At 41.5% G+C, this 27,916-nt stretch overlaps 1 protein-coding gene across 13 annotated transcripts in view, besides 2 other annotated features; it reads left to right on the forward strand.

The window, feature by feature from the left end:
- The window catches only part of DCLK2 (doublecortin like kinase 2), a 178,994-nt gene that overhangs the window by 75,758 nt on the left and 75,320 nt on the right, over positions 1-27,916 (forward strand). The gene's annotated exons all lie outside the window — the stretch shown is intronic.
- Positions 6,335-6,629: a silencer, noted in NCBI's record as "tiled region #14262; HepG2 Repressive non-DNase unmatched - State 24:Quies, and K562 Repressive non-DNase unmatched - State 24:Quies". NCBI's record gives its function as "represses a minimal TATA promoter and a strong SV40 promoter by Sharpr-MPRA in HepG2 and K562 cells {active_cell/tissue: HepG2 | K562}" and the evidence as "EXISTENCE:reporter gene assay evidence [ECO:0000049][PMID:27701403]".
- Positions 21,119-23,945: an enhancer, noted in NCBI's record as "VISTA enhancer hs1614". NCBI's record gives its function as "enhancer in: branchial arch[4/5]" and the evidence as "EXISTENCE:transgenic organism evidence [ECO:0001131][PMID:17130149]".

Consider the following 27,916-nt stretch of genomic DNA (forward strand, 5'->3'; position numbering starts at 1 on the left):
TAATACGTTTGTCACTCTTTCTCTTCACTTGCCAGTGAACATTGACCAGAGTGTCCTTTAGTTACTGTTTCCCGCTCCACTAGACTGTGAGCTCCTTGAAATCGAGGATTCATCCCTTCACGTCAACAGCATTAACACAGATGTTTTACCAGGAATCTTGCTATGTATTAGGTATGCAAAGATAAACCAGATTGGAACCTGTTCTCTTAAGGTGCTTATCTTGATGAGGGACTTGGGTCATAAATGTGATTTAAGTACTCTAGTGTACTTGTGGGACTTCATACCTGGACACTTCATTTTATAAAGATTTAAATTTTTAGATCCAGTATGAATTTCTATGTGAGATATTGTTGTGTGTTTTATTTCCTTGTTTTGATTTTTTTTAGAAGCAAGCTTTTAATATTATTACCATGTGCCTTTAAACACCTAAAGGAAGCTAATGAACTATTTGTTGAAGCCTCCACTAGACAAATGTACAGAAATGGAAGTGGGGTGATGGTTTTTATTGTTTGATTTTTGCCTTTGTCATGGTAGGAAGCTTATTTTTTAAAAATTTTACCTTTTATGAGCTTTACTGGAGTATAATTTTATATGCAATAAAATGTACCAATTTTTACTGCACAATTGAGTTGTGACAAGTGTATAGTCATGTGACCACCTCTGAAACTCATTATTTAGAACATTAGCTGATTTTTATAAGCAATACACAACATGAATGTACTTTCTCATTTAAGTAACAGTAGCTGGTTGGGTGTGGTGGCTCATGCTTGTAAATCCCAGCACTTTGGGAGGCCTAGGCGGGTGGATCACTTGATCCTAGGAGTTCAAGGCTAGCTTGGGCAACATGTAGAAACCCCAACTCTACAAAAAATAAAAAAAATTAGCTGGGTGTGGTGGCATGCACCTGTGGTCCCAGCTACTCAGGAGGCTGAGGTAGAAGGATGGCTTGAGCCCAGAGGCAAAGCTTGCAGTGAGCCATGATTGTGCCATTGCACTCCAGCCTGGGCAACAGAACAAGACCTTGTCTCCAAAAAGTAAAAATACGTAACAGTAGCACATGAAAATGACTTAAAATGAATTCAGAAGGTTGAACTCACCAGCATTAACAACCTACAGATAAGAATATGCTGCATAGTTTTCTTCTGGATCAAAACATGTATTTTCCTTCTGTATACAAGCTGAGGTATATAATTAGTTCATATGAACTATAGAGTTGGAATATGTGTTTCAAGAGGTTCGGTTTTTGTATGCAGCAAAGCGCTAGTTTATGAAAGGAAGAGAATGATTGTACTGATATTTGATAAGTGAATAAACTACTTACTTGTATCCTGTCTGAAAATGTGTCTGGCAGTGACCATGGAAACGTGGCCTCAGGGAGTCCCCTCTGGAGGGTCAGAAATAGCAAGAGGGTAATAGAGAGGCTGTCTGGTTACTGCCAGCAGGTGTTGAGAAAAGCTTGCAGTAATCATGGGTAAAACTCTTGAGACATCCATGGGAGTAGCTTATGGTGGGCATTGTACATCAATAAGATTGGGATTTCTGAGTTTTTACCCTAGGAGCAATGGGAAGAGGGCAGACGCAAGACTGCACAAATGGGTGGATAGGGGTACATTGAGGAAAACGGGAAGCCTACAGGAAGGTTGGAAACATGGGAATTGATGTCATGAATGAAGTAATCTGTACAGATGTAAAGCAGGAAGGAAGAAGGGGCTAGGACTGAGCCTTGAAGAATTCCACTAGTAATGGCCAGAGGGAGGAAGCTAGGTGGGAGAGGAGTGGCCTGGGTAGTCAGGAAAGACAGATGAATGTGAGGTAAAAGTCAAGGGAAAAGAGTCTTTTAGGAAGGAGGTAAATGGAGAAATTCTGCCAAGCGGTCGTTGTAAGGTGAGAACTGAGACCCACCCGTTGGACTTGACCTAAGTGGAGGTTGCTGGTGATTAGGAACCTCTGCGAAGGATGATGGTGCAAAAGCCGTGTTAGATGTTTGTTGAGGTGGGACAAACTTCAGAAATATCTAAATGTTATTATAAATGATCCCATCAAGAAGTAAAAACTGACAAGATCCTGAGAAGGCAGGAGAAGGTGGATTTCAGACCTCACTGCAGGGAGGACACACTGACCCTGTGTAATAAGAAGGAAGGTGTAAAGAGCAGGGATGTAGGGGCTGGACGTTGTGGCTCACGCCTATAATCTTAGCACTTTTTGAGGCTGAGGTGGGTGGCTTGCTTGATCCCAGGAGTTAAAAACCAGATGGGGCAACATAGTGAGGCCGTCTCTACCAAAATAAATAAATAAATAAATAAATAAATAAATAAATAAATAGCCGGGCATGGTGGCACATGCCTGTAGTTCCAGCTACTCTGAAGCCTGAGGTGGGAGATCAGTTAAGCCCCGAGGTTGAGGCTGCAGTGAGCTATGATCATGCCATTGCACCTGCAGCCTCGACAATAGACTGAGGCTCTGACACACATGCACACACATACACACATGTCCACACACCAAAAGAATATGTTGTATATAGGTTTTAGGGAGTAACTATTTTATTTATTTATTTATTTATTTATTTATTTATTTATTTATTTATTTATTTTTTGAGACAGAGTCTTGCTCTGCTACCCAGGCTGGAGTGCAGTGGTGTGATCACTGCAGTCTTGACCTCCTGGGGTCAAGCAATCCTCCCACCACAGTCTTCCAAGTAGCTGAGGCCACCGATGTGCGCCACCTGCTTGGCTAATTTATTTATTTTTTGTAGAGACAAGGTCTTGCTATGTTACCCAGGCAGATCTCGAACTCCTGGACTCAAGTAATCTGCCTTCCTCAGCCTCCCAAAGTGCTGGGATTACAGGCTTGAACCACTGCGCACAGCCAGGAGTTACTATTTTCTAGTGTGTATGTATCAGTCCAAACTCAAACACCGTGATGGAAAATACATTTCTGCGTTAGCTGGTTTAGTGTTTCTCACCTGTTTTTTTTTTTTTTTGTTACTGTCCTTTAAGGAGGAAAATTAAATTTAAATGAGTTATATTTATTACTAAAAATCTTTTTAAAATTTTTTAAAATTTTACATTTTTGAGATTATGAATTTTCTTTGTTTTTGAGACAAGGTCTTGCCCTGTCACCCAGGCCAGAGTGCAGTGGCATGATCTCAGCTCACTGCAGCCTTAACCTCCCAGGCTCAAGCAATCCTCACACCTCAGCTCCCACCACCCTCTTCTCTGAGTATCTGGGACTACAAACATGTGCCACTATGCCCAGCTAAATTTTGTATTTTTTGTAGAGATGGTTTTTTTGTTTGTTTGTTTGTTTGTTTGTTTGTTTGTTTGTTTTTGAGCTGGAGTCTCTCTCTCTTGTTCAGGCTGGAGTGCAGTGGTGTGATCTCGGCTCACTGCAGCCTCCACTTCCCGGGTTCAGGTGATTCTCATGCCTCAACCTCCCCAGTAGCTAGGCTTATAGGCATGTACCACCATGCCCAGCAAATTTTTGAACTTTTATTAGAGACCGGGTTTCACCACGTTGGCCAGGCTGGTCTTGAACTTCTGACCTCAAGTGATCCGCCTGCCATGGCCTTGCAAAGTCCTGGGATTACAGGCATGAGCTACCGCTCCTGGCAGAGATGGAGTTTTGCCATGTTTCCGGACTGGTCTTGAACTCTCTGAGCTCAAGTGATCTGCCTGCCTCAGCCTCCCACAGTGCTGGGATTATAGGCATGAGCTGCCGTGCCTGGCCCAGAATCTTTTAATTTTATTCTAACGAGATAAATAGTAAGGGTTGAACTTTGGAGGGCCACAAATCATTGTAATATCTACGATGTTTAGCTCCCTTTATTGTTAATTTGCTAAGGCCACCATAATAAAATACTACATACTGGGTGGCTTAAACAACATAAATCTATTTTCTCACAGTTCTGGAGATGAGAAGAAGTTCAAGATAAAGGTGTCAGCAGGTTTGATTTCTCCGGAGGCACCTCCCCCTTTTGGCTGTGTGTTCACATGACTTTTCCTCTATGCATGCACACCCTGGCATCTGTGTGTGTCCACATTTTCTTCTCTTATAAGGACACTGGTCACATTGGATTATGGCCTACTCATATGACCTCATTTAACCCTAATTACCTTTTTAAAGACTGTGTCTCTAAATACAGTCACATTCTGCTGTCCTAGAGGGTAGGGCTTCAACATATGAATTTTAGGGGGATATAATTCAGTCTATAACACCTCCCAATAAGTTATTTTTGCCTCCCCTCCACCACAGAGGCACACTGCCCCTTTGAGAATGCATGAGCTAATTGATAAAGGTTACTCTCTATTTTGCTTACTGGATAGAGTACTGGGGATGTAAAGTTGCATTCCTCTATTGAGCACCTAATATATGTTGGGTACCATACCAGTCTCTGGGAATATAAATGTCTCGAAGGAATTCTTCAATATGTAAACTAAAATGTTGTAATACAATGATAAATATAACAGACTGAGATGTTCATTAACTGTTTCTTGAATGAATAACTGAAATAGTAGTGATTAATTCTGCTGAAAGTAGTTAGAAAAAACTGCACAGGAAAGGTGGCATTTGTTGGAGGTGGATGAATTGGATTTTTGAATATAGAGCTGTGGTTGGGCCACTGCACTCCAGCTGAGGTGACAGTGAGACACCATCTCAAAAAAGAAAAGAAAAAAGAAAGAAATGCAAGCAGAAAAACAACCCAAGGTTCCTCAGGCATGGAGGAATGAAAATGCAGGGCTTACTGGAAGAATCATGAATAGCGTAGTATTTAGAAACCTTAGGGAGTATGTTGAGAAGAAGAAATAGTGAGATGTGGAGCCAGTTTCTGAAGGATGTTGAATACGATTTTGCTGAGGGATTTGAATTTTTTTCTTTGAGCAATGAGGAATTAACAAAGTGAGCAGGAGTGTGACACTCCAGGAGTCCATGTCAGATTCTTATATTGTGCCCTCCGGAAGGACAGACACCACATCAAAGGGAGTGCCATTCACATCCTAGACATGAGCTAACATGAGAGTGGCTGGTGTAGAGATTTCAGGCTTCACAGTTGAATCCTGGAGCTGCAGAAGAGAACTCTTCCTTCATGAATTCCACCAGCCCACCCTCTATGCACATACACACACCACTTTATGGTACACATACATGTGTCTGCTGCACCATTGCATCTGCCTCCTGGATGTCCCCAAAGGTGGCTTCTCTTGTCACTTCTTCTCTGCCACTCTTAGGTTCCTAATCCCTGTCTCTCACCCACTTTGAAACCTGACACAGTCACCTTTCCTAGGCATGGGCCAATTAAATGTACGTGCTTACAGCACACGTGCCCTGGCATGTGGTGGGGGTGTAGTGAAAAGCTGAGAGTGTGGGCTTCTCTTTATGAAGGTAAAGCTGTAACATTTGACCTCTTCTTTGAGCAGGGCTTTCATGATGTGCAGTAATATCATAATTAAAATCTTCATTGACGAAGAGAAGCCTTTCCCAATTTGCACGAAGGTAAATTGAATTGGTCATGACAGTGAAAGTGATATGATCAGAAAAGTATTTTTAGAAAAATAATCCTAGTGGCAAAATGGAATTTGGATTAGATGGGAGTTGGGACAGTGAGAGGGGAGGTGGTCGAGAGAACACGTTTTCATATGTTCCGCTTTGCTAGAACAGGAATCCCTGGGCACGTGACTTAGGAATGAGGGAAACGTAAAAAATACAATGATCCAGCATATAAAAGGTAATAAGCAAGTGTGACTTCCTTTTCCTTCTTCTTTACTCTTTTGTTTGCAGACCCTCTTTGATGACTTTTTTTTTTTTAATTTTTATTATTTTTGTGTGTGTGTGTGAGACGGGGTCTTAGTCTGTCGTCCAGGGTGGAGTGCAGTGGTGTGATCGCTGCTCACTGCAGCCTTGACCTCCCAGGCTTAAGTGGTTTTCCCATCTCAGCCTCTTTAAGTAGCTGGGACTACAGACATGTGCTACCACATGCCTGGCTAACTTGTGTACTTTTTGTAGAGTCAAGATTTCACCACGTTGCCCAGGCTGGTCTCCAACTCCTGAGCTCAAGCAATCCACCTGCCTCGGCCTCCCAGAGTGCTGAGACTGCAAGTGTGAGCCACCATGCCCGATTTTGATGACTCCTTGTGGAGAGTGCTTTAAGAGCAGCATTTTTGTCCCCTGAGAGTTACATGTTTGTTATTTTGCAGCTTTTAGGATTTAATTTACTTTCAGTATTCAAGCACCATGTTGATCAGGAGGTCCCAAGGATGCCAGTGAAGTTTATCTGTATATTTTGAGATTGTTGTTGTCCCTGGGCAATTAAAAACCCAAAACTCAAGGAAGTTAAATAACTTGTTCAAGCTTCTACAAGGTTATTGTATGGCTGAGGAAATGGCAGTATTAAATAGCTAAATGACTTGTTTTGTTTCACAGTAAATTGGGATAGAGCCAAGATTTGTAATCATTACTGTGTTCCGCTAAGACTCCAAAGTTGAGAAAGGCACTAATTGGGTAGACTGTCCCATCCAACCATCAGGTTCATTCCTGTTGGACTCTGTTCTGAGAGAAGGAAAAGAAAGGGCCTCTTTGCTCCGGATATTTGGAAACATTTGTGTTATTGGGTCATGGATAGGAAACAGCCTCAGAAATCCTCTGCCCCAGTGCCTCCATGTTATTGGTGAGATAATTAAAGCTCCAGAGAGGCTGTGACTTAAATGACACAGATGTTTGGTGACAGGAAGCAGGACTCCTGATTCCAAATTTAATGTTTTTTCAATTAATAATATAATCTGTCCCTGTAACTTAAAAAAACAAATATACAAAAACTCAAAGAGGTAAATTCATTTGTGTCAAAAAGAAATGACAAAAAGGAGTGAAACAATTTAAGGTAAACATCTGACTACTTTGTATGAACTTTAAAGTATATAGATTGTGAACAGGGACTGAAAGTTAGTCAATGAAGATATAGAAAACTTACTTTCAGGGTAAGTGAGGAAGCATCTCTTTTGTGATGTAAATCAGAGTAGAATTGCCCAGATACAGGCTATCTTTTAACTCACAAGGGTCTTGTAAACCAGTAATAAATGTGTTTTCTATTTGCAGTTTCAACTAACCTCTATAAATTAGAAAAATAAATGGATACTGGTGAATCAGACACCTGCAGAGCTACTTGATAGGCCTTCCCTCAAGAGCCAGATACAAGTCTGTGTTTGTGTGTTCAGAGGGTAATATATCTAGGATGTGCATTACAAAGAGACAAAATACAAATTTTTTGGTTCCCAGAGGTCTAAGATGGTTCCCACTTCTTTAGATTATATCAGATAATTTATAAGACATGAGACTGATAAAAGACAATGTGACACCCCATAATTCAATACAGTAACTCACAGAAGATCTCTGGAATCAGTTTGGTTTTCTAATATATTAACAGTTTGTGAGGAAAGGAAGGAAGCCAGGTTATACACATTGAAAAGTATGCACAGATGCACCCAGAATCCACAGAGATGTGTTTCCATTTGTAAGTATTTTATTACATTGGCAAATTACAAAGGGCTGGGAAAGTGGGAGATGAGAGATTGCAATTTGTGAAACTATTATTTTAGGGCTGAATTGTCCAGGGAACTTCAATGTGAAAGAAAATAATAAGACATTTTGTGTGATGTCTGTGTCTGACTTCTTACCTTTATAGAGGGGTGTTGCTTCAAGGTTGTATCTTGTAACCTTACTGCTAGGGGCTTATGGCTTTGTAGTTCTTCCCAGGATTGGTCAGACCTCAGCAGAGTCATGAACATTTCTGACCTTATTGTGACTTTCTTCATGTCACCACCGTCTGTTTATTGGTTTTGATTTATTTACTTATTTTGAAACAGGGTCTTGCCCTGTTGCCCAGGCTGGAGTGCAGTTGTACAAACATGGCTCACTGCAGCCTCAACCTCCTGGGCTCAGATGATCCTCCCACCTCAGCCTCCCAAATAGCTGGCACCATAGGCATGCGCCACCATGCCTGGCTAATTTTTTGCATTTTTTGTAGAGATGGGATCTTGCTATGTTGCCCAGGCTGGTCTTGAACTCCTGGCCTCAAGCAGTCCTCCAACCTCGGCCTCTCAAAGTGCTGTGATTACAGGCATGAGCCACTGCATCCAGCCTGATTTATTTTTAATACATTAAAGTTGAGTTATTAGGGACAGAGGAGAAACTTTAGACCCTCTGCTCTTCAAGTATTGGGATTTAGGGCCAACTTTATTAAGTAGTATTATCTTCCATATATATTTGTATAACTTTCCTCATAAAATTTCCATCCCATGTTGTGAAAGATCAGAATGTTAATTTTAGTTAACCTAATAAATATCTAGATATTTTAAATTAATTTATTGAATGTAATTTCAAATTAAATGTATGTCTTAATTATGTTTCTGAGCTTTTTCTAAGTCTTCTATTTTTTTTAATTTTTAAATTTTTTTATTTTATAGAGATGCACTCTCACTCTGTGGCCCAGGCTGGTCTCAAACTCCTAGACTCAACTGATCCTCCTGCCTCAGCCTCCCAAAGTGCTGGGATTTTAGGCATGAGCACTGTGCCCAGCCTAAGTCTTCTATTTTAAAGGCCTTCCTTGCTGTACGTACTCTTTGCTTCCTGGGACATTGATAAGTTTAACCTAGAAGTAGCTGCAACATAGAGGACAATAACTCAGACCCACATTTGACAGATCTTCTCTTTTCACTCACTTATTCTGCCTCCTGGCCTTATCATTTAGCTTACTATTTAATATGACATTAGAATTGTCTAACGAATTGTTGGTACTGAGAATTGACTGTGACTGCGCAACACATCTTTCTTTCTTCCAAAATTGGCAAAACGACAGTTGGTTAATCATTCTGCAGGGCGGTACCTAAGCAAATGGAGTCCTATCTTTTGAAACCAGTCATTTAAGGCTGGGCTCGGTGGCTCACGCCTGTAATTCCAGCACTTTGGGAGGCTGAGACAGGCAGATCTCCTGAGGTCAGGAGTTTGAGACCAGCCTGGCCAACATGGTGAAACCCTGTCTCTACCAAAAATACAAAAATTCACTGGGCGTGGTGGCAGGCACCTATAGTTCCAGCCACTTGGGGGGCTAAGGCAGGAGAATCGCTTGGACCTGGGAGGCAGAGGTTGTAGTGAGCTGAGCCTCTGCCACTGCACTCCAGCCTGGGTGACAGAGTGAGACTCCGTCTCAAAATAAATAAATAAATAAATAAATAAATAAACCAACCAGCCATTTAAATATCATTCATTCCCTTTTTTCTTCAATAACTACTACATTATAGAGGAGTTCAAAGCCCAGGATCCTTGCCCAACCGCCACCCCATGGTGTGTGATTTCATTATATAACTTAATCTCTCTGAGCCCATTTCCTTGTCTATACTATGAAGAAAATTATAGAGCTCAGTTGTCTGAATTAAATAAGATACTATCTAGAAAATATTCTCTCTGGCTTTAGAACTCAGTAAGAACTCAGTAAACATTAGTTATTAAGCAGTTACTATATTGTGCAGGCATGCTCAAGATTATATGTTTTAGGCACTTAATTTGTATCACATTTTTCAATTTCTAAAAGCTGCTGTCTTGCATTGTCATTTGGACCTCAAGAAAATGAATGATTATGATTGAGATGAAGAGTCACCAAAGTTCTTACCAATTTTAGGAAGTTAGTTATTTTATTTATAATTATTTTCTACTTTCCATGGTTAAGGACAGTACCAACCCTTTGCAACATCTGTTTTGCTTTTTGTTTTGTAGAGCTGTGATCTCACTATGTTGACCAGGCTGGTCTCAAACTCCTGGCCCATCCTCCTGCCTTGGCCTCTGAAAGTGCTGGAATTATAGGCATAAGCCACTGCACCAGCCTAACACAGCCCATTTTATTTCTGACATTTCCTTATGGTTTTTAGGCCAGCAATATAAAGTTGACCCTCAGTTTTCCTTGGAAGTTAGAGTATAATGTCTGTCTCTTTAAGACAGTTGATTTTAACCCCAGCTGCTAATTAGGATGACCTTGGAGAGACTTTGGCTGTTACTGATGAAATACAGATGCCTGGCCCCATGCCCCAGAGTCTGATTAAGTGGTCTGGGTTGGGCCTGTGGCATCAGCATTTTTGAACTGTGCAGCCACTGCTCTAAGGAATATTTTCAGTTTACTTACTTACCCCCCTACCCCCATACCCTACTCCCAAATTAAAAGCCTATAGCTCATCAGCAAATTGCAACAATTCCAGATAGTCTATAGATTAACAGCTGTTAATTTGTAGATAAATGAATTAGCTAAGTACATATATTGTTTAAAAATATTTTAAGGGTCGGATGTGGTGGCTCACACCTGTAATCCCAGCACTTTGGGAGGCCGAGGTGGGTGGATCACCTGAGGTCAAGAGTTCGAGACCAGCCTGGCCAACATGATGAAACCCCATCTCTACTAAAAATATAAAAATTAGCTGGGTGTGGTGGTGCACACCTGTAGTCCCAGCTACTTGGGAGGCTGAGGCAGGAGAATTGCTTGAACACAGGAGGTGGAGGTTGCAGTGAGCTGAGATTGTGCCACTGCACTCCAGCCTGGGCAACAGAGTGAGACACTGTCTCAAAAAAAAAATTAAGTCCAGTTATATTTTATTAGTACAGATTAACCATAACATATCTCCTGGAGTACTAAAAATTCATTTGGAGTTGCAATATCATTGTATAGGGTGAAACAAAAATTATCTTGATTCTTGTCACACTGTAAGACCCTTACTGTTCTCCTTTTAAAGATTTTGAGCACACCAATTTATGACAACACTTGTTTTGGTTTACATGAGTAATCTCTGATTTTGTAGTGAATAAATGGGTTTAACCATCCTGAGACAAATTCATTCATAATCTTTAGAGAAGATTCCCTGAGGGCATGAACATTCCATATGCCTGTAATGATGGAATATACCTTCGGGAGAGGAACTTCCTTGTTTAAAAACACTTTTAACAACTGCTGAGGACTATGGGTGTTGTGATTAAATTAAAGTGGTCATTGAGCTGTGGAGTGTTTAATTCTGTGGTTTCTTCTGATCTTTGTCTGCCTTTGAGTACACCAGCACTGTTTCTGTTCTATAGATCTGGCAGCTGTTAGAAATGCCATGCGTGTTTGCTAAGAATTGGGTGGTAATTTTATATACAATAACTGCTGATTGGGTTGCCCAGGGTTGAGTTTTTTTTTTGATTTGTCTTCCCACATGAAGTTGGTTAGATTGGAAAATTTGCTCCAATTGCTAAAGATTGCTTTTAAATGTGCAGCATATTAGCCACAGTTGTTGCCATAAGCAGCTGCATGCTGCATATTAGCTTGAATACACAATAAACATTTTATGGTTGGAATAGTGAATATCGCTGGAGGAGAGAACCTATTTCAAAGAGAACATAAATTGGCCTATAAAAAAGTAAGCAGAAACCTTAAACCTTAGATTGTTAGGTTTGTGAGTCCTCTGCTTAGAACTGATGGAAGGGCTACCTTGTTACATTTACAGTGTTACCTAGGTTCATTTTAATTGTTTCACCTGATGCTGTGGTTTGAATGTGTCCCCCAAAAGTTCATGTGTTGGAAACTTAATCCCCAGTGCAACAGTGTTGAAAGGTAGAGCCTAATAAGATCTGATTGGATAATGAGGGCAGAGCCCTCATGAATGGACTGTCATTGTTATGGGAGTAGGTGAGTTATGAGAGTGAGTTGTTATAAAGTGAGTCTGGCGCCTGGTGCCTCTGTCTTGTGTGTTCACTTCCACCTTCCCCCTTCAACTGTGGGATGACCATCTGTAGACACCAGTGCCAAGCCCTTGGACTTCCCAGCTTCCAGAACCGTGAGAAATAAATTTCTTTTCTTTATAAACTACCCAGACTGTGGTGTTCTATTGTAGTCACACAAAACTAAGAAGACACCAGGTGTCCGAGTTTGGATTCTAATCATTTAATGGAGGTAATTTAGATATTAATACCAACACAGAAGTTATTTAAAAATCTAACACGGCCAGGAATGGTAGCTCACACCTGTAATCCCAGCACTTTGGGAGGCTGAGGTGGGAGGATTACCTGAGCGCAGGAGTTCAAGACAAGCCTGAGCAACATAGCGGGACCCCATCTCTACATAAAATTTTTAAAAAAATTAGCCAGGTGTGGTGGCATGCACCTGTGGTCCTAGCTACTTGGAAGGCTGAGTTAGGAGGATCACTTGAGCCTGGGAGATGAAGGCTGTGGTGAGCTATGATTGTGACACTGCACTCCAGCCTGAGTGACAGAGTGAGACCCTGTCTCAAAAAAAAGTACAAAAAACAAAAACCGATATTCTACTTGTCCCCAGCATTCTTCATTACTTGTGAAATTGCGAGTATATCCTTGTTGTTTTATCTTTGAAGGGGTGAAGTTCTGGGAGCTGCCTTGTGTGATGAGTACACATTTTCCTGTTTTCTTTGTGTGACAAATGACTACCTAAGATGCAAATGTTAATGCATAATTTATCTGAGTTTGTAATTAGAGCAAGGCACTCCAAGCAGTGATTAAGTCCTTTTTGTTCATGCAATCTTTGTGCACTGTCATGAAGAGGTGGGTGCTTGCTGGGCTGATTGCTGGTCCTTTTCTGATTAGGAGACAACGCTCAAAAAGCAGCACTTCTGACTTTTTTCAGATCCTTCTGAATGGCAGGGAGCCTTGCCTCCTTTTCAGAGATCTTCCTTGTCTTAAGGATAAGTGGTGGGCGGGACACTGCCTAATGATAACTATGATCATGTAAAATAGCCACTGATTAAAGAGTAGTTCACTGGGCCCGCCTGGGTGCATTATTCTCATTGGGAGGCACTTACTGGGGTGGGGTCGAGGTAATTCTCTTTGATATTCAGGAGATAAATTGTACTCATCAGAACCCCATCAGTTAGTTAAAGGCAGTTTAGAATGTGCTTTCCTGATTTTAAGAGGGAAAAATGCCAAAAAAAAAATATCTGTTTCAATTGGAAGGAGGAGAGAGAAAAGCCATCTCGGAAGCCTGGCAGCAGGCCTGCAGAGAAGCAGCTCTTTGGGCTGTTGCAGTAGTTATGTCCTTGTCTTATGAAGGACAGACTGTTTGTGACTACACAAGTGACTGCTAAAGAGACTTTTCATATTCATGGAAGGTTTCCTGTGAAGTTGCAGGAGGAAATAGTTTGTATCTGCCCTTTGACTTTGCACCAGTGTCAGCCAGATCATACTACGGACCTCAATTTAGGCCTTAATAGAATTTAACTTTTGAGACTAAATCTCGTACTTGAGTAGGAAAGCTAGATCTTACCGTTATCCACACCTACCGGCAAAAAAGGGAGAGGGGCTCATTCAATGCAGTCCTACCATTAGATTATTAGCTGACCAGGACAGGAACTGTTACAGTAGGTAGCTAGTCAGGCATGAGCAGGGCAAGAGATGGCTCTCCCCAACCTCCACCAGGAGTGTCAGGCGACCATCAAGTGATGGTCAGGCAGTTTAAAATAATGATTGGTCGCAGCCAGCGCCAGAGAAGGACAGTCTCCCAACAGATAGAAAACACCCAAAACTGGTGATCAGCAGCTTCCCCATAAGATCTCGGAAGCTGGGCGAGTGGGCTCAAGCATGTGCACTAAGAGGCAAAATGGCAGAGTTTAACTGGTATATGACCTTCCTCTAGGAATGCTAGATTGGTAAGGGAAGAATGCCTCAGGTGAGCATGCGTACAACTCCAGTAAACACACTGTGCATGCAGGCCCTCCCAAGTGCTGAAAGGCCATTGTGCATGCAGGCAGCCCACCCCAAGGGAAGAACTGGGGGAGAAGGAGGGCGCAAGACCCCAGAAGCATGCCAACGTGTAAAACCCCAAGTCAGGCCAGGTGCGGTGGCTCACGCCTGTAATCCCAGCACTTTGGGAGGCCAAGGCGGGCGGATCACGAGGTCAGGAGATCGAGACCATCCTGGCTAACACAGTGAAACCCCGTCTCTACTAAAAATACAAAAAATTAGCTGGGCGTGGTGGCAGGCGCCTGTAGTCCCAGCTACTCTGGAGACTGAGGCAGGAGAGTGGCGTAAGTAAACCCGGCAGGCAGAGCTTGCAGTGAGCCGAGATCGTGTCACTGCATTCCAGCCTGGGTGACAGAGCGAGACTCCATCTCAAAAAAAAAAAAAAACCCAAGTCAGAGGTCAAACTGTGCACTTGATCTCTCAAGTCACCTACTTAGCCCTCTTCCAAGTGTAAAGACTTCCTTTCATTCCTGCTCTAAAGCTTTTTAATAAACTTTCACTCCTGCTCCAAAACTTGCCTTGGTCTCTCCTTCTGCCTTATGCCCCTTAGTTGAATTCTTTCTTCTGAGGAGGTAAGAATTGAGTTTGCTGCAGACGCATGTGGATTCACCACCAGGAACATACTTTGGTGCTCTGTGACTTGGATACGTTCTGCTGCTAACAGAACCAAGGTCTGTACTTCTGAATGTGTGGCCACTATTGCAATCCCAAAGTAGTGATGGGTTTTAATACTCGTTGGGTAATAACTTTGCAACAATCTGGCAGTGACACTTAGCATTGCGTGTATTTTCCTTCGTATAGTGAGTGCTCCAGACATGGCCAATCCACAATTCTCACTGATCAGTTCTGCATTTTAGTTCATTCTGACTGTTGAGCTGGTTACCAAGCCAGTTAGCTCAGTTTTCCCAAGGTGATCTTGCTTTTCAATATCAAGTATATGATTTGGCTTGATCTGGAGATGCAGTGTTTAATAGATGTTATGAGCAGTCCATCCTAGGGCTCAGTAAGAGTGTGTTCCTTAATACTACAAAGTTCTGCCCCCACTACCATTGGAAGCCAAAGTGCACCCCCTCCCCACCCCCCGTAATTCCTTGTGTTTCTGTTGGTTAGATTTCACACATCTTTGTTCTTCCTTTCTTAGCTTAAGGCACAGTCTTTTACCCAGGACTCTCATCTGACACAAGTAGGACCTTTCCTTCTGGAAAATGACAAAAATATTCCCAACATAAAAATTAACTTCTAAAAATCCCTGCACAGGACTGAACTGACTGATGCTTTAGGGTTATCATATTTAGAAGGAAAAAAATGGACTGTTAAAAACTTTAGACAAATTAAACAATTTATTTGAGCATAGAATGATTCGTACATCAGGCAGCCTTCCGAACAAGAAGTGGGTTCAGAGGCCTGGTGCAGTGGCTCACGCCTGTAATCCCAGCACTTTGGGAAGCTGAGGCGGTTGGATCACCTGAGGTCAGCAGTTCTAGACCAGCCTGGCCAACATGGTGAAACCCCTTCTCTACTAAAAATATGAAAGTAGCCAGTGTGGTGGCAGGCACCTGTAATCCTAGCTACTCAGGAGGCTGAGGCAGGAGAATCGGTTGAACCTGGGAGATGGAGGTTGCAGTGAGCCAAGATCGCACCATTGCACTCCAGCTGGGTGACAAGAGTGAAACTCCGTCTCAAAAAAAAAAAAAAAAAGTGTGGTTCAGAGAGCTCTACTCTGCAGTGTGGGCACACAGCATTTATGGATAGAAATAGAAGTAGGGTACAGAAACAGTTTTATTGGTTACAGCTGGGCATTGGCTTTATTTGATCATGATCTAATCCATTGGTGGCCTGTGATTGACAGACAGCTAATTGTTACAAAAGTATACAGTACACCTAAGTTAGGCTTTCAGTTAAGTTAGGTTATAATTCCTGAAGTAGGGACTTAAAATACAGAACAGCCGCAGGCCAAATTTATTTAACAGGATGTACTTATACTAAAAAATGATCTGTTGCTTATCTGAAATTCAGATTTAACTAGGTATCCAGTATTTTATCTAACCAACCCTAGATGCAAGTAGTTTTTAAATTTTTATTTATTTATTTTCTTGAGACAGAGTCTCACTCTGACACCCAGGCTTGGAGTACAGTGGCATGATCTTGACTCACTGCAACTTCTACCACCTGGGTTCAAGCGAGTCTCCTGCCTCAGCCTCCCGAGTGGCTGGGATTACCACCATGTCTGGCTGATGTTTGTATTTTTACTATAGACATGGTTTCACCATGTTGGCCAGGCTGGTTTTGAACTCCTGACCTCAGATGATCCACCCACCTCAGCTTCCCAAAGTTCTGGGATTATAGGCATGAGCCACCATGCCCGGCCAGTTTTTTTTTAAAAGAAAGAAAAAGATAAAGGAAATAACCCTGTTGATATTTAGCTGGGGCGAGGATAAGGTGGGAGGGGAAAAGCAGTAGAAGTGTTTTCCTGAGTACCACAACTGTGAGGAAAATTGAGCTCACTCCAGTTCACAACAAGCTAAACATTTTCAAAATTATGCTAGAAACAGTAGGGGAAACGAGGAGGATATACATTTGCAGTGCGAGTAGCGAGGTTCATAGAAGATATTCCCTCTGATACTGGGAAATGAAAAATAGAACATTACAGCTGGGGAAGTTCTTTATAGTTTACTTGGTCTGATATCTTCCTTTCCCCTAGGGGGAAATTGGAACTGCAATATTAAGAGGCTGAGTTACCTGACCACATTTTCATCATCATTTAGAGGCTGAACAAAGACCAGAATCTTGGTATTTATTTGATCCTTCATTCTTGGAAAAAAACCTGTACAACATGACTCTGACATACCATAAGTTTAGAGGCAATCCATGTAAAATTAAGTGCTTTTGATAATGGAGACATCTAAATTGAGCTTTCTTGTATAAAAGTGATTACTGCAGAAATTAAAGTAACAGTCACTGAAAAAAAAAATTCTGCCCAGTTTCAGAAATTGCACTTTCGCTTCTGCAGTGGCCAGATTCACAATGCCCTCAGCATACATTCTTAATTTATTTGGTCTTCTATAGGTAGCATCCCTATAAACTGAGTGAATTTGGATTAAATGATTTCAATGGTAACTTCTAAGTCTATGACTCAGAAATCTGTATTGTCTGAATCTCTCTTAAGGAATTTCCAGTCTTACTGATTTCAGACATACCCACATAAAATAGAGATGATTTAGTTGGCTGGGCGCGGTGGCTCACGCCTGTAATCCCAGCACTTTGGGAGGCCGAGGCGGGTGAATCATGAGGTCAGGAGATTGAGACCATCCTGGCTAACATGGTGAAACCCCATCTCTACTAAAAATACAAAAAAATTAGCTGGGCGTGGTAGTGGAAACCTGTAGTGCCAGCTACTTGGGAGGCTGAGGCGGGAGAATGGTGTGAACCTGGGAGGCGGAGCTTCCAGTGAGCAGATATCGCGCCACTGCACTCCAGCCTGGGCGACAGAGCGAGACTCCGTCTCAAAAAAAAAATTAATTTTAGTTGACTAAGTTCAATTAAAAGTTGGGCTTTGCTGCAGCTGTTCATTTAGAAAAAGGTCAAAATTAAAATTCAGCATATTTAATGCAGAAAGCAAATGTCGGGGTTGAGGGATTGTAGTGTTAACTGGAGTGGGCCTTCTTGGAGAATATGAGTTGAACTCAACCTTGAGGTAGCAGAACTTGAGGACTTAGGTTGAGGGTAGGAGGAGAGGAGAGTTTAAGAAAACCAAACATTGGCTACCGCATAAAATTTGTGCTTGGAAATAGTGTCAAATAGCATTACCACAACTTCCATTGTCCATGCTCTTAGTTCTTCCGTGATTATACTTGAATCCCTCACACTGGCTGGTCTACTCATTCCACTTCTTTTCTAAGGAAGCTTTTTCAGGGTCCTCCCAGCCACTCTCTCATCTGACTGGGTAAAAGATAAATTGACAAATGCGTGCATCTTGTGACATGTCCAGAATATGACTTAATAATGTTGTTAAATTATTGCCTTCTCATCTGCGTGTCTCTTATGTTCTGCTTAAAGAGATTGTCAGTTTGTTCAAGCTCTTTTTAGTTGTTGCTCCTCCAGTGCCTAGCTTTGAGCTTTGTACACGGTAGTTATTGAGTTGAGTAACATAGTTTGTTCTGAGTCATTTGTTCCACATGCTTGAAGACTTGGCTTAACCTAGTAGATAATAGGAAAGAAATGGAAATGCTCTTTGATGAAAGAGCCCCTCTCTTATTCATCCTTTTTAAATTTTCTTTGTGCCCATATGCAGCAGCTCTCAGCAAACCTATATTTGGCAGTGTGGCCTGTATGACTAAAGAAATCCTGGCCAGGCACGGTGGCTCACGCCTGTAATCCCAGCACTTTGGGAGGCCGAGGCGGGTGGATTACGAGGTCAGGAGATTGAGACCATCCTGGCTAACATGGCGAAACCCCATCTCTACGAAAAATACAAAAAAAAAATTAGCCGGGCATCATGGCGGGCGCCTGTAGTCTTAGCTACTCAGGAGGCTGAGGCAGGAGAATGGCGTGAACCCGGGAGGCGGAGCTTGCAGTGAGCCGAGATTGCGCCACTGCACTCCAGCCTGGGGCAACAGAGCAAGACTCCGTCTCAAAAAAAAAAAAAAAAAAAAAAGAAATCCATAGATCATGGACCCACAAACCCCTAGTTTTATGAGGGAAGTGAGACCCAGAATAGTTGATAACTTTCTCAAGGCTACTAAACATGCAGTTCTCCTCACTCTAGAGAGTGTTCTTTTTTTTTTTGGGGGGGGGGGGGATACCTTGCTCTTTCTCATCTTTGCCTGGCAGTACAAAAAATTTTGCTAGATCCAAGGGTGTTCAATTATCCATCTCTACCCTTTCCTTGTCGTAGGAATGGAGTAGAGGAACACCTAGAAGTCAGGAGACTTGGCTGCTTCTTAACCCTGTACTACATTTGTGTCTTAGAGAATCCACTTAATTTCTCCAAGTTTCTGTTTCTACATCTTTAGAAATGGGGTAGGCCTCATGTGAATGCTAGGTCTCTTCTAGTTTTATTTAGTAATTTAGCACTAGTTCTGAATTCTGTTGACTTTCTGAGGATCCAAGGATCTTCTGTTCTCCTTCCCTCTTACAAATCATTTCCACAGTTTTTGCTAAAAGTAGAGGGGTGTAACATGTATGGGAGTTAGGGGAAGGGCAGAGGTGGGGTGAGGGAGATGGATCTGGGCTATGGTGTGCAGCAGACCTAGTGCCCTTCACTCTCCTGCCCGTCACTCTGCAGTGGTAGCATGGGATGCAAAAAACCAGCCGACTCGACAGGATAGTCTCTGACTTTTGGACATTGAGTATCTTTTTGGTGTTGGATGCCTTGTCTTCACTTTCCCTCTTCTTGTGGTCTGGGTTGTTTGGTGTCTCGATGTCTGTGAAGCATAATAAGACAAAGAGCAGACAGAACTGCTCTTTCAGAGTGTCACCAGAGATGGAATAAAGGCTCCTAAGGAATTCTGAGGTGTCGTGTGATGAAGCCATGGCAGCTCCCTCTGGTGAAGGAAAGAAATGTGCCCTCTTCACCTCCTTTGAAGTGCTGAGCCTACCCACAAGGATGTGTTTTTTCTAGAAGGAAAAGTCTCCACTTTTGGCAGCAGAACTGAAATAGAAAAATTGAGCTTGACCTATTTCCTTAGCAGTGAGTGCCTTGCATTGTCCTCTCAGGCAGTATGAAAATCCTTGAACTGGGAAACTGACAGCTGCAATCAGACACTTGCATTGGGGGAAACTTCATGAATTTTAATAGGAGTGCTGCTCCTGGATGAGGTTGGGAGAGAAAAGAGAGCCAAGCCAATTCAAACAAAAGGAGCAGAAGGGGCTTTATTACATGAACAGCTCATGGCAGTGATGAGAGTAATATTCAAATTATTTATTTGACAACGATTTTGATGATTTAAGAGGGAAGGATTGCTGAACTCCTATGAAGTCGAAGGGGTTATGAATCTTCCATGATTATTAATCCCACTGTACTGAAGGCAAAGAAGGAGGGTATATCAAAACATGAATTGCTAACAGTAGCAGTCCTCAGACACCGCACTTTAGTGATACCCAGGAAATGAACTCCGGGAATGGCAGTCACCACTACTCAGATAAAACTGCTTCCCTCATGGACTCACCACACACAGGCACAGACGCATGTGCACACCCACAGAGCCAGTTTCTGGACATCCTTTCTGCCCTCTTTGATGTACGTAGCACTTCCCCTACTGAGTAGCCATGCGGCATCCTGTTTGTCCAGGAAGGAAGTGTTGGAATCTGTTCTCATTGTCAGACCTCTCTTATGAAGCTGCTGCTTGTCAGCATTGATATTCCCAAGGTGGTCTCCTAAGTCAGGAAGAGTATAGAGGCAGTGCTTCTTGTTTTATATAATAGTCCCATCCACTTCTTTCACAACGTGCCTTCCATGCCACTCCCAGACTAATGTTTGTCAGAAGCGGGGACTGCTTTTGAAAATTCATGCAACCGTGAGCTACTTTTGTGTTTGCGGCCACGCTTCGTTTAAGAAGGGGACCTGAGGCCGGGCACAGTGGCTCACACCTGTAATCCCAGCACTTTAGGAGGCCGAGGCAGGCGGATCACGAGGTCAGGAGTTCAAGACTACTGAATGTAGTAATTTCAGAGTCCCACTTTTCTGAATAAATCACAAAATAATGTTTTAAGTGAAGACGGTACTTAAAAAAATACATTAGGCTGGGCGCGGTGGCTCACACCTCTAATCCCAGCACTTTGGGAGGCTGAGGCAGGTGGATCACCTGAGGTCAGGAGTTCAAGACCAGCCTGACCAACATGGTGAAACCCTGTATCCACTGAAAATACAAAAATTAGCCAGGTGGTGGTGATGTGCCCCTGTAATCCCAGCTACTCAGGAGGCTGAGGCAGGAGAATCACTTGAACCTGGGAGGCAGAGGTTGCAGTGAGCCGAGATCACAACATGGCACTCCAGCCTGGGTGATGGAGTGAGACTCCGTCGCAAAAAAAAAAAAAAATATATATATATATATATATATTTATATATATTTATATATTTATATATATATTTATATATATTTATATATTTATATATATATTTATATATATTTATATATTTATATTTTTTATATATATATAATTTATGTATATTTTATATATATTTATAATTTATATATATTTATATATATTTATAATTTATCTATATATATTTATATATATTTATCTATATATATTTATATATATATAAAGCTTTGTTCAGCAAATTCCTGTGTTGGTGGGACTATTTAGCCCAGGGAGATTTCAACCAAGGACGGTTACCTGTGAGAGTGCTGGCTGACTTTCCACAAACCATTTAGGAAGTACTGAAGAAAACAACCATACGCTGAACAGAACCAGCAATTGTGGTCTCCAGATTCAGGAGGGAACTAATTTCTGGGTGTTTGAGCCAGTCTTTCTCCTGTGGCTGGAGGGGAATGAAATGGGTATTTCCATGGGTCGGAGAATTGGGACTCACGACAGACTAAGGCAGAACACGTGAGAAATGCAAGTGAGGGCTGTCCTTCACCCAGATGAAGGAGCCCCTCTTTGGTCCCCTGCCAGGGCTTGTTGTCAACCGGTGGAGGTGGTGGAGGAAGGACTTGGTGAGTCTTTGTCCCAGGCCTCACAGTTTTGACGGTTTCATATTTAGTCTTGAAAAATGATCATGTAATGAATGTATACAGTTGTAATTTCTGTGAGCTTAAATAATGTGTTGCACTTACTGTAGAATATGTCTTGATTCCTGTAGCTCATTTTGGCGTGTCTTCATGCTTTAGTAAGGTGGAAGTGGCCCTGCCTCTTGGCATTGGAGAAGCCCTCTCTCCCCTCTCTGTACCGTGCTCCTTCCTAACTCTTGGCCTATTCTTCTGTCCATAATAGAGCTCCTGCACTGAGGTCTACACGGGCTCCCATTTATCTTTGCCTGTGCTGTAAGCCAGAGTATCTTTAAATCGTGTAAGTTGCCCGAGGCAACCAGCTATGGCAGAAGAAGATAGGTGGCTGGAATTTATTGCGGAAGTAACATTTATTTACGTTTGGGATCCCACTAATGTTCGAATCCTTGCTTCTGTGCTGTCATGCCTCCCTCTTGTCTCATCACATCTGTTCTCTGCCTAAGCCCCATGGTTTTCCATAGCCATCTCCATGCCTATCCTTGTAGTAAAAGCTGTCCTTCCGCCATGAATCTAATACTATGAGCCCTGAGCCTGGAGTCCCTGCCTCTGTGCTATTCATCCACTCACCCATCACTAAATATTCCCTGAGTGCCTACGGCACAGGCGCAGGCACAGTGCTGAGTGCTCTGGGTGTAAGAGCGAGAAAGATACGGTCTCCAGGTGCTGGGTGTCTTCCTAACTTTCCTGAGCTGCTGCAAGCTCATGGTGACCTACCTAAGCCTCCACCCTTGATATTCAATCAGGCCATATCCACCTGCCTACGTTCCCAAGTTTCCTTGCCACACCATGAGAATCCAAGGGTGACTTCTGTTCATAATAATGGAGAAATAATGTACCAAAACATCTTCCCGGAGAGGGGCTGAGAGGCCTTAATGCTGTGGTAAGGCAGGGTATTCATTCAGGTGCCAAGATGGATTGGAAAATATCCAAGAAGTAAGGAGGCTCTTCTTCTCAGGCTAAATAACAGCCTCCTTGTTGGGAAGGGAATAATCAGTCCCAGCTGGAGAAAAGAGACTGCATTCCCTTTGCTTTTCCATTCAAATCTAATCTTATGACATGAGTTTCTGACATGAGTAGCATTCTTGCCCAGACTTGTGGCCCCAGGGAGGGGATGGTTATTTAAGACAGCTGGCTCCTCCAGCAAAGCATAGAGCTTGATGATAAATGCTTACAGACAACTTCCCTTACTTGCTGGTCCCAGTCCCAGTTTAATTGACACCCCTAGAGATTTGCAAAAAAGAAATAGATGTTTCTTTGAACGGATATCATGTCTCTGAATGCAAGAAAAAGATAAGATGCTACATGCATACAGTTCATCAGTATTTCCCAGCTTAAGGAATTCTTCAGGGAGGGATTCCTTTTATGCATTCCCTGTGAAACAAGTGTCCTCTGCCTTTAAACCCTGTCTTGTGTTATAATGTAGAATAAATCTCATATGATTTTGTTTTTCCTTCCTTTGCTTTGTTTTTTTAAAGGAACTCTTTCTATGAATCAGTGATTTTAAGACATCTTGCAGGGTTTTTTTTGTTTTCTCTAGAAGCTTAGATATAGCTCCAACCTGAATAATTTTAGGTTTTAGTTATTTTAAAATGCTTTTTTTTCCGAGTTGATGCTCCTTTTGGTCAAGAAGCCCTGTATGGAGTAACAGCTCTGCATAAATATTTAGGCCCAAATGTCAAGCATTTGCTTCACATTTCTTTTTCATAATTAGAGATGTAGTCTATGGGCGAGGAATGAATTGATTCAAACATCTTTTCCTCCATCGAAGAACTTTGGTCACTAAAATGGTTATAACACATACACTAAATTGAACATTCTGAGAAAGGCATTTATTTGAAAGAATTTGGAAGTATTAAGGGTATAAAGAATTTATCTTTGCAGTTTATGAAAAGTAATGATATTAATGATAGAATTATCTTTCAAAAGCAAAAGTTTGAGGAATAGATCGATGAGCCAAAAAGGAGAGTGTAAGAAAAACTAAGAACTGCTTAGGTTTCAAAATCAGTACTTAGTGAAAAAAGAAAATTGTAAAGACATAATCAGTATGACATAACTTACATAAAAGTTTTGAAACATACCAAATAATATTCCTGGTTGTCTGTGGACACATACCTCTATAATATGAGGTCTGAAAACATGGGTTGGAAGGATATATGCCAAATGCTTGACAGAATTGTCCTGGGTTGGTGGGGAAGGAAGCAGGGCACTGGGGCTGGGGACCAGGAACAAAAGAGAATTTAACTTTGTAATGTTTTGTTTCCATGTATTAAAGGGATCTGAAGTAGACATGACCAAATGATATTTGTTAATTCTGGGGGCTGGGAATTATTTGCTGTAACTCTTCAATCCTGAATTAAATATATGAATTACCTTAAAATGAAAACAAAAAGAGTTTTCTACCCTCATTGTGAAGCTCCACGTAAATGGGGGCAGAGGTTCACAGCCAACAGTCATAACCTTTCTATGGGTATTTGCATATTTAGAGTAGGCATTGATAAGCCAATTAATCTAAATAATGAACTATCTTGCTTTGAATTCTTCTAAACTAAGTATTTGCTCTATCAACTTGCAAATCAGTTGTACATATGTTAGCATAAAAAGTTTTGGCTGTATTTCAGGAACAGGTGCCTTTTAAACAGGAAAATTTAATTGTGGTGTATGCCTCAGCCAATATCAATTTCACTTTTAAAATGTTGCCATAAATAATTCAAACGGATGGCATGCTTTTCGTTTCTGAACAGCCACAGGCATGTAGCTTATTCAGAGGATTTCTTCGACCGTAGATGTGAGAACTTCATCTACTAAGAAGGCTGCTCTAGGGAAAAAAAAAAAAAATCTTATTGCTTTTCTTGTAAGATTTATGTTGGTTTGAAAATGAAAATTTAGATTCCTTGTCATGTGAAAACAGATGCAGCTATACAAACCAAAATCTTGTTTGCAGCACAGAACTGCCCCACTGATTTTGGACTCTAATCTACTCACCTTGCCGGACCACAACTTAAAACTAGGAAATAAGCAGAGAGAACTTTGTCATTCGGCAGTCTGAAATTTGGGAACTGAAGTTTATTTTCTTTCCTCCTAATCAAAGCCTCTAACTTTCAACCAGTTTACTCTTATTTTACACTTAAGTTTCCTAAACTTGAAATATCTCTTTCTAAGCTCACAAATGTTAAATGCAACAAATCAGAAGTTGGTGTAGGGGCTGCTAAGAAAGAGATTAAGATTGTCTTTTGATACAAGATACATCTTGTCTTTTGATACACGATGCCAAGGGAGGGAAAATAATTTTATTAAGAAGAAATAAAAATAGTCAAGATTTCTTTTCTTTTCTTTTTTTGAGACAGAGTCTCACTCTGTTGCCCAGGCTGGAGTGCAGTGGCGCGATCTCGGCTCACTGCAAGCTCTGCCTCCCAGGTTCACGCCATTCTCCTGCCTCAGCCTCCTAAGTAACTGGGACTACAGGCGCCCGCCACCATGCCTGGCTAATTTTTTTGTATTTTTAGTAGAGACAGGGTTTCACCGTGTTAGCCAGGATGGTCTCGATCTCCTAACCTCATGATTCACCCACCTCGGCCTCCCAAAGTGATGAGATTACAGGTGTGAGCCACTGCGCCCAGCCAAGATTTCTTCTTTTAATAGTGATGATTTTCCTAGAAACATAAATAGTCCCACTGTAGTAGAATGTAGTCATGGTGTCTTTGCTATTCGTGCTGAATAGTTGTTGTTTTCCAAAGTAAGTATAGAATTAACTAACTTATTTTCAAAATAAGTATAGAATTAACCAACCATACCTCCTTAATTGATGGTTCTCTTAGTCTTGATTCCAAGGGTCTTAACTACCTGGATGTGCTCATTGTATGCTAAACAGACACCAAAAGGGTTGACTAATCTTATTTTTATGTACAGACAATCAATTCCCGAAAAATGCTGCAGGTTTTGCATTGATTTAAAAATTTTAAAGGTCATAATATTATTAATACATATTTATACCCTTAGAATTCCCAGTTTGTCAGCAAATAGAGTCCCATTCTGTTATGCCATTGAAAGTAATGATAAAAACTGCAGTTACTTTTGCACCAACCTAATAAAACCGTGATTGTAACTTGGGTTTGTAATTTGTTTTTAAAGAGCTAGACAGTTTGTTTGAAGATATCAATTTCCAAACATATTCAGTATTCCGTAAGGTATGGGAGATTGGCCTAAACTTGTACCGACCTTATGATATTACTTAGAAGTTGATCCTTAAAAAAAAATCCTAGATATAAGCTTACATACTTGCCATTCATTTACTCCATAAAAGTAAGATGTAGAAAAATGGTTTGATTATTTGGGTTTTAGACAAGTATAAAAAATTATCTGACTTACCTCAATAAGCCCTGTTATGTTTTTTCATAGGTTGTAAATTACACTGTTAATACTTCTTTAGGGAGACAGTATGTGGTCCAAGTATAAAGAGTATGTTCCAAGTTAGAGTGTAAATCTCAGCTCCTCCCTTACTGGCTGTATGACTTTGCACAAGTTACTTACCCTCTTTGAGCCTCTTTTTGTGTAAAATCGGAATGGTAGTCCCCACTTCACAAGGTAGTTTCCTGGGAGTTACGTGAAATTCATTGTGTCATTGCATAGTTAGGTATTCCATGCTTGTTCCCATTCCATTTCTGTTGGAAATAGAAAATTTTGGATTGGAAGATTGCCACCTTTTGCTTTGGTTCTCAATTGCCTTCTCTATAACACTTATGATTTCATTTTTTGTTTATTATTTGAAGATGACTGAGTCCTAGAGAGCATTTATTTAAGTTCCAGTCACATCTGCTTGAACACGTTCCACTCTAGCTTCTTCAGAATAAAAGCTCATGATCATTGGACTCAATAGGTTTCTTCTGACTTCTTCACCTGAGTTCTTCTAAAACTTTGCTCTATTGGGGCGCAGAACACAATACCCCAAAGTGAAGGCATCAGAAACAGCCTGAGAAGCAGAGTCTCTCTCTGACCTTCTCCTGCCCTCTGGTCTCTTACCCCTCTTTCTCCCCCAGGCAGGCCACGGAAACTAGAATCTCTTCCCCAAGGTGGGTCGTAGAAACCAGAAACCCTTTTCCCCAAGGCCAGCCATAAAACCTGAAAATATTCCTCTAACTTTCCCCAAACCTTTCTCTGTAAGAGCTGGCCATAAAGAAATTATCTGACCTACCTTGTGTGGTAGTAGATCATAAGACCCCCATTCCAGAAAGAGTCCTGCCCCAAACCCAGGAGGAGGGACTGCTGCACACAGAGATCGGGAACACCCTGGACAGACAGGCATTGCTGAGTTTCTCTACCTCAGTCTACTAGCATTATGTCACAGTCTTTGTCCAATTATATTTCTACATGGCTGTCCACTCTTGATTGGACCTAAGCATACAAGTGGATAGCTGTATCTTTGGGTCTTCATTGTGAGGGCTTGTCATGTAAAAAAATTTTTAAAAATTTAATAAATTTGTTATGCTTTTCTTTTGTTAACCTGTCTTTTGTTATAGGAGTGTCTACCGTGATCCTTACGATGGGGAAGAAAGGGATCACCTTTCTGCCCCTACAGTTCCAGCCTTCTTCACTTGGTGGAAAGCTCCAGAGTGGGTTTGAAACCTTTTCCTGTGGGAATTAAGACTGGGGGTAGGGAGCGGCTCTCAGTAGGGGGCAATCAGAGGACTGACATAGAAATGACCTCTTTTACAGGAAGAATGATGATTGCTTCTCCTCCCAGAATATATTTAGAAGCTCAATATCTCTGAATTCTTTAAAACCTTTTCATCCTATTGATAGAAAGAGGCACTTCCTAAAGCCAAATCTTTGGTCTCAGTATTCCATGATTGGTCTTAACTGGTGAATAGTTATTATTATGAGAAGGTTGCAGTGGGAAAAGGTTAGATCCAGTGTTTTTTTATTTTTTAGGAAGCAAACCAAATGTAGGGAGCTGTCTGCAGATGCCTTTGAGAAGCCCTTTACTGTAAGAACTGTCATCTTTTAGCTTCAGTTCTGTTTCCATGGCAACCACATGGTCCCTGAGTGCCTGGCTGAATGAATTTACAGGAAGCTGAAAAACATTGCTATTCTAAGTAGCTTTCTTCTTCCTGTAGAAAGGGTCCTTCCCTTACTGTAGGCCAGCCAACATTTACTGGGAACAAAGAGGGCTATTTATGCTCATTGTACTCTGGGCCAAGGGTAAAGAAATGGGGAGAATCCCAGCCTCTGCTTACTGACCTGTGAATTTGTTTATCTGGTTGTTGTCACTAGCATTTTGGAAGGACCAAATGATTTACCTTTCCTTTATTTCAGATATGGTTTCCCTGTTCATTTTTTTTTTTAATTAAAAAAATTTTTTTCGAGACAGGATCTCACTCTCTTGTCCAGGCTGGAGTGCTGTGGCACCATCTCGG

The sequence above is a fragment of the Homo sapiens genome, chromosome 4 (genome assembly GCF_000001405.40).
Source record: "Homo sapiens chromosome 4, GRCh38.p14 Primary Assembly".
Classification (NCBI taxonomy): domain Eukaryota; kingdom Metazoa; phylum Chordata; class Mammalia; order Primates; family Hominidae; genus Homo; species Homo sapiens.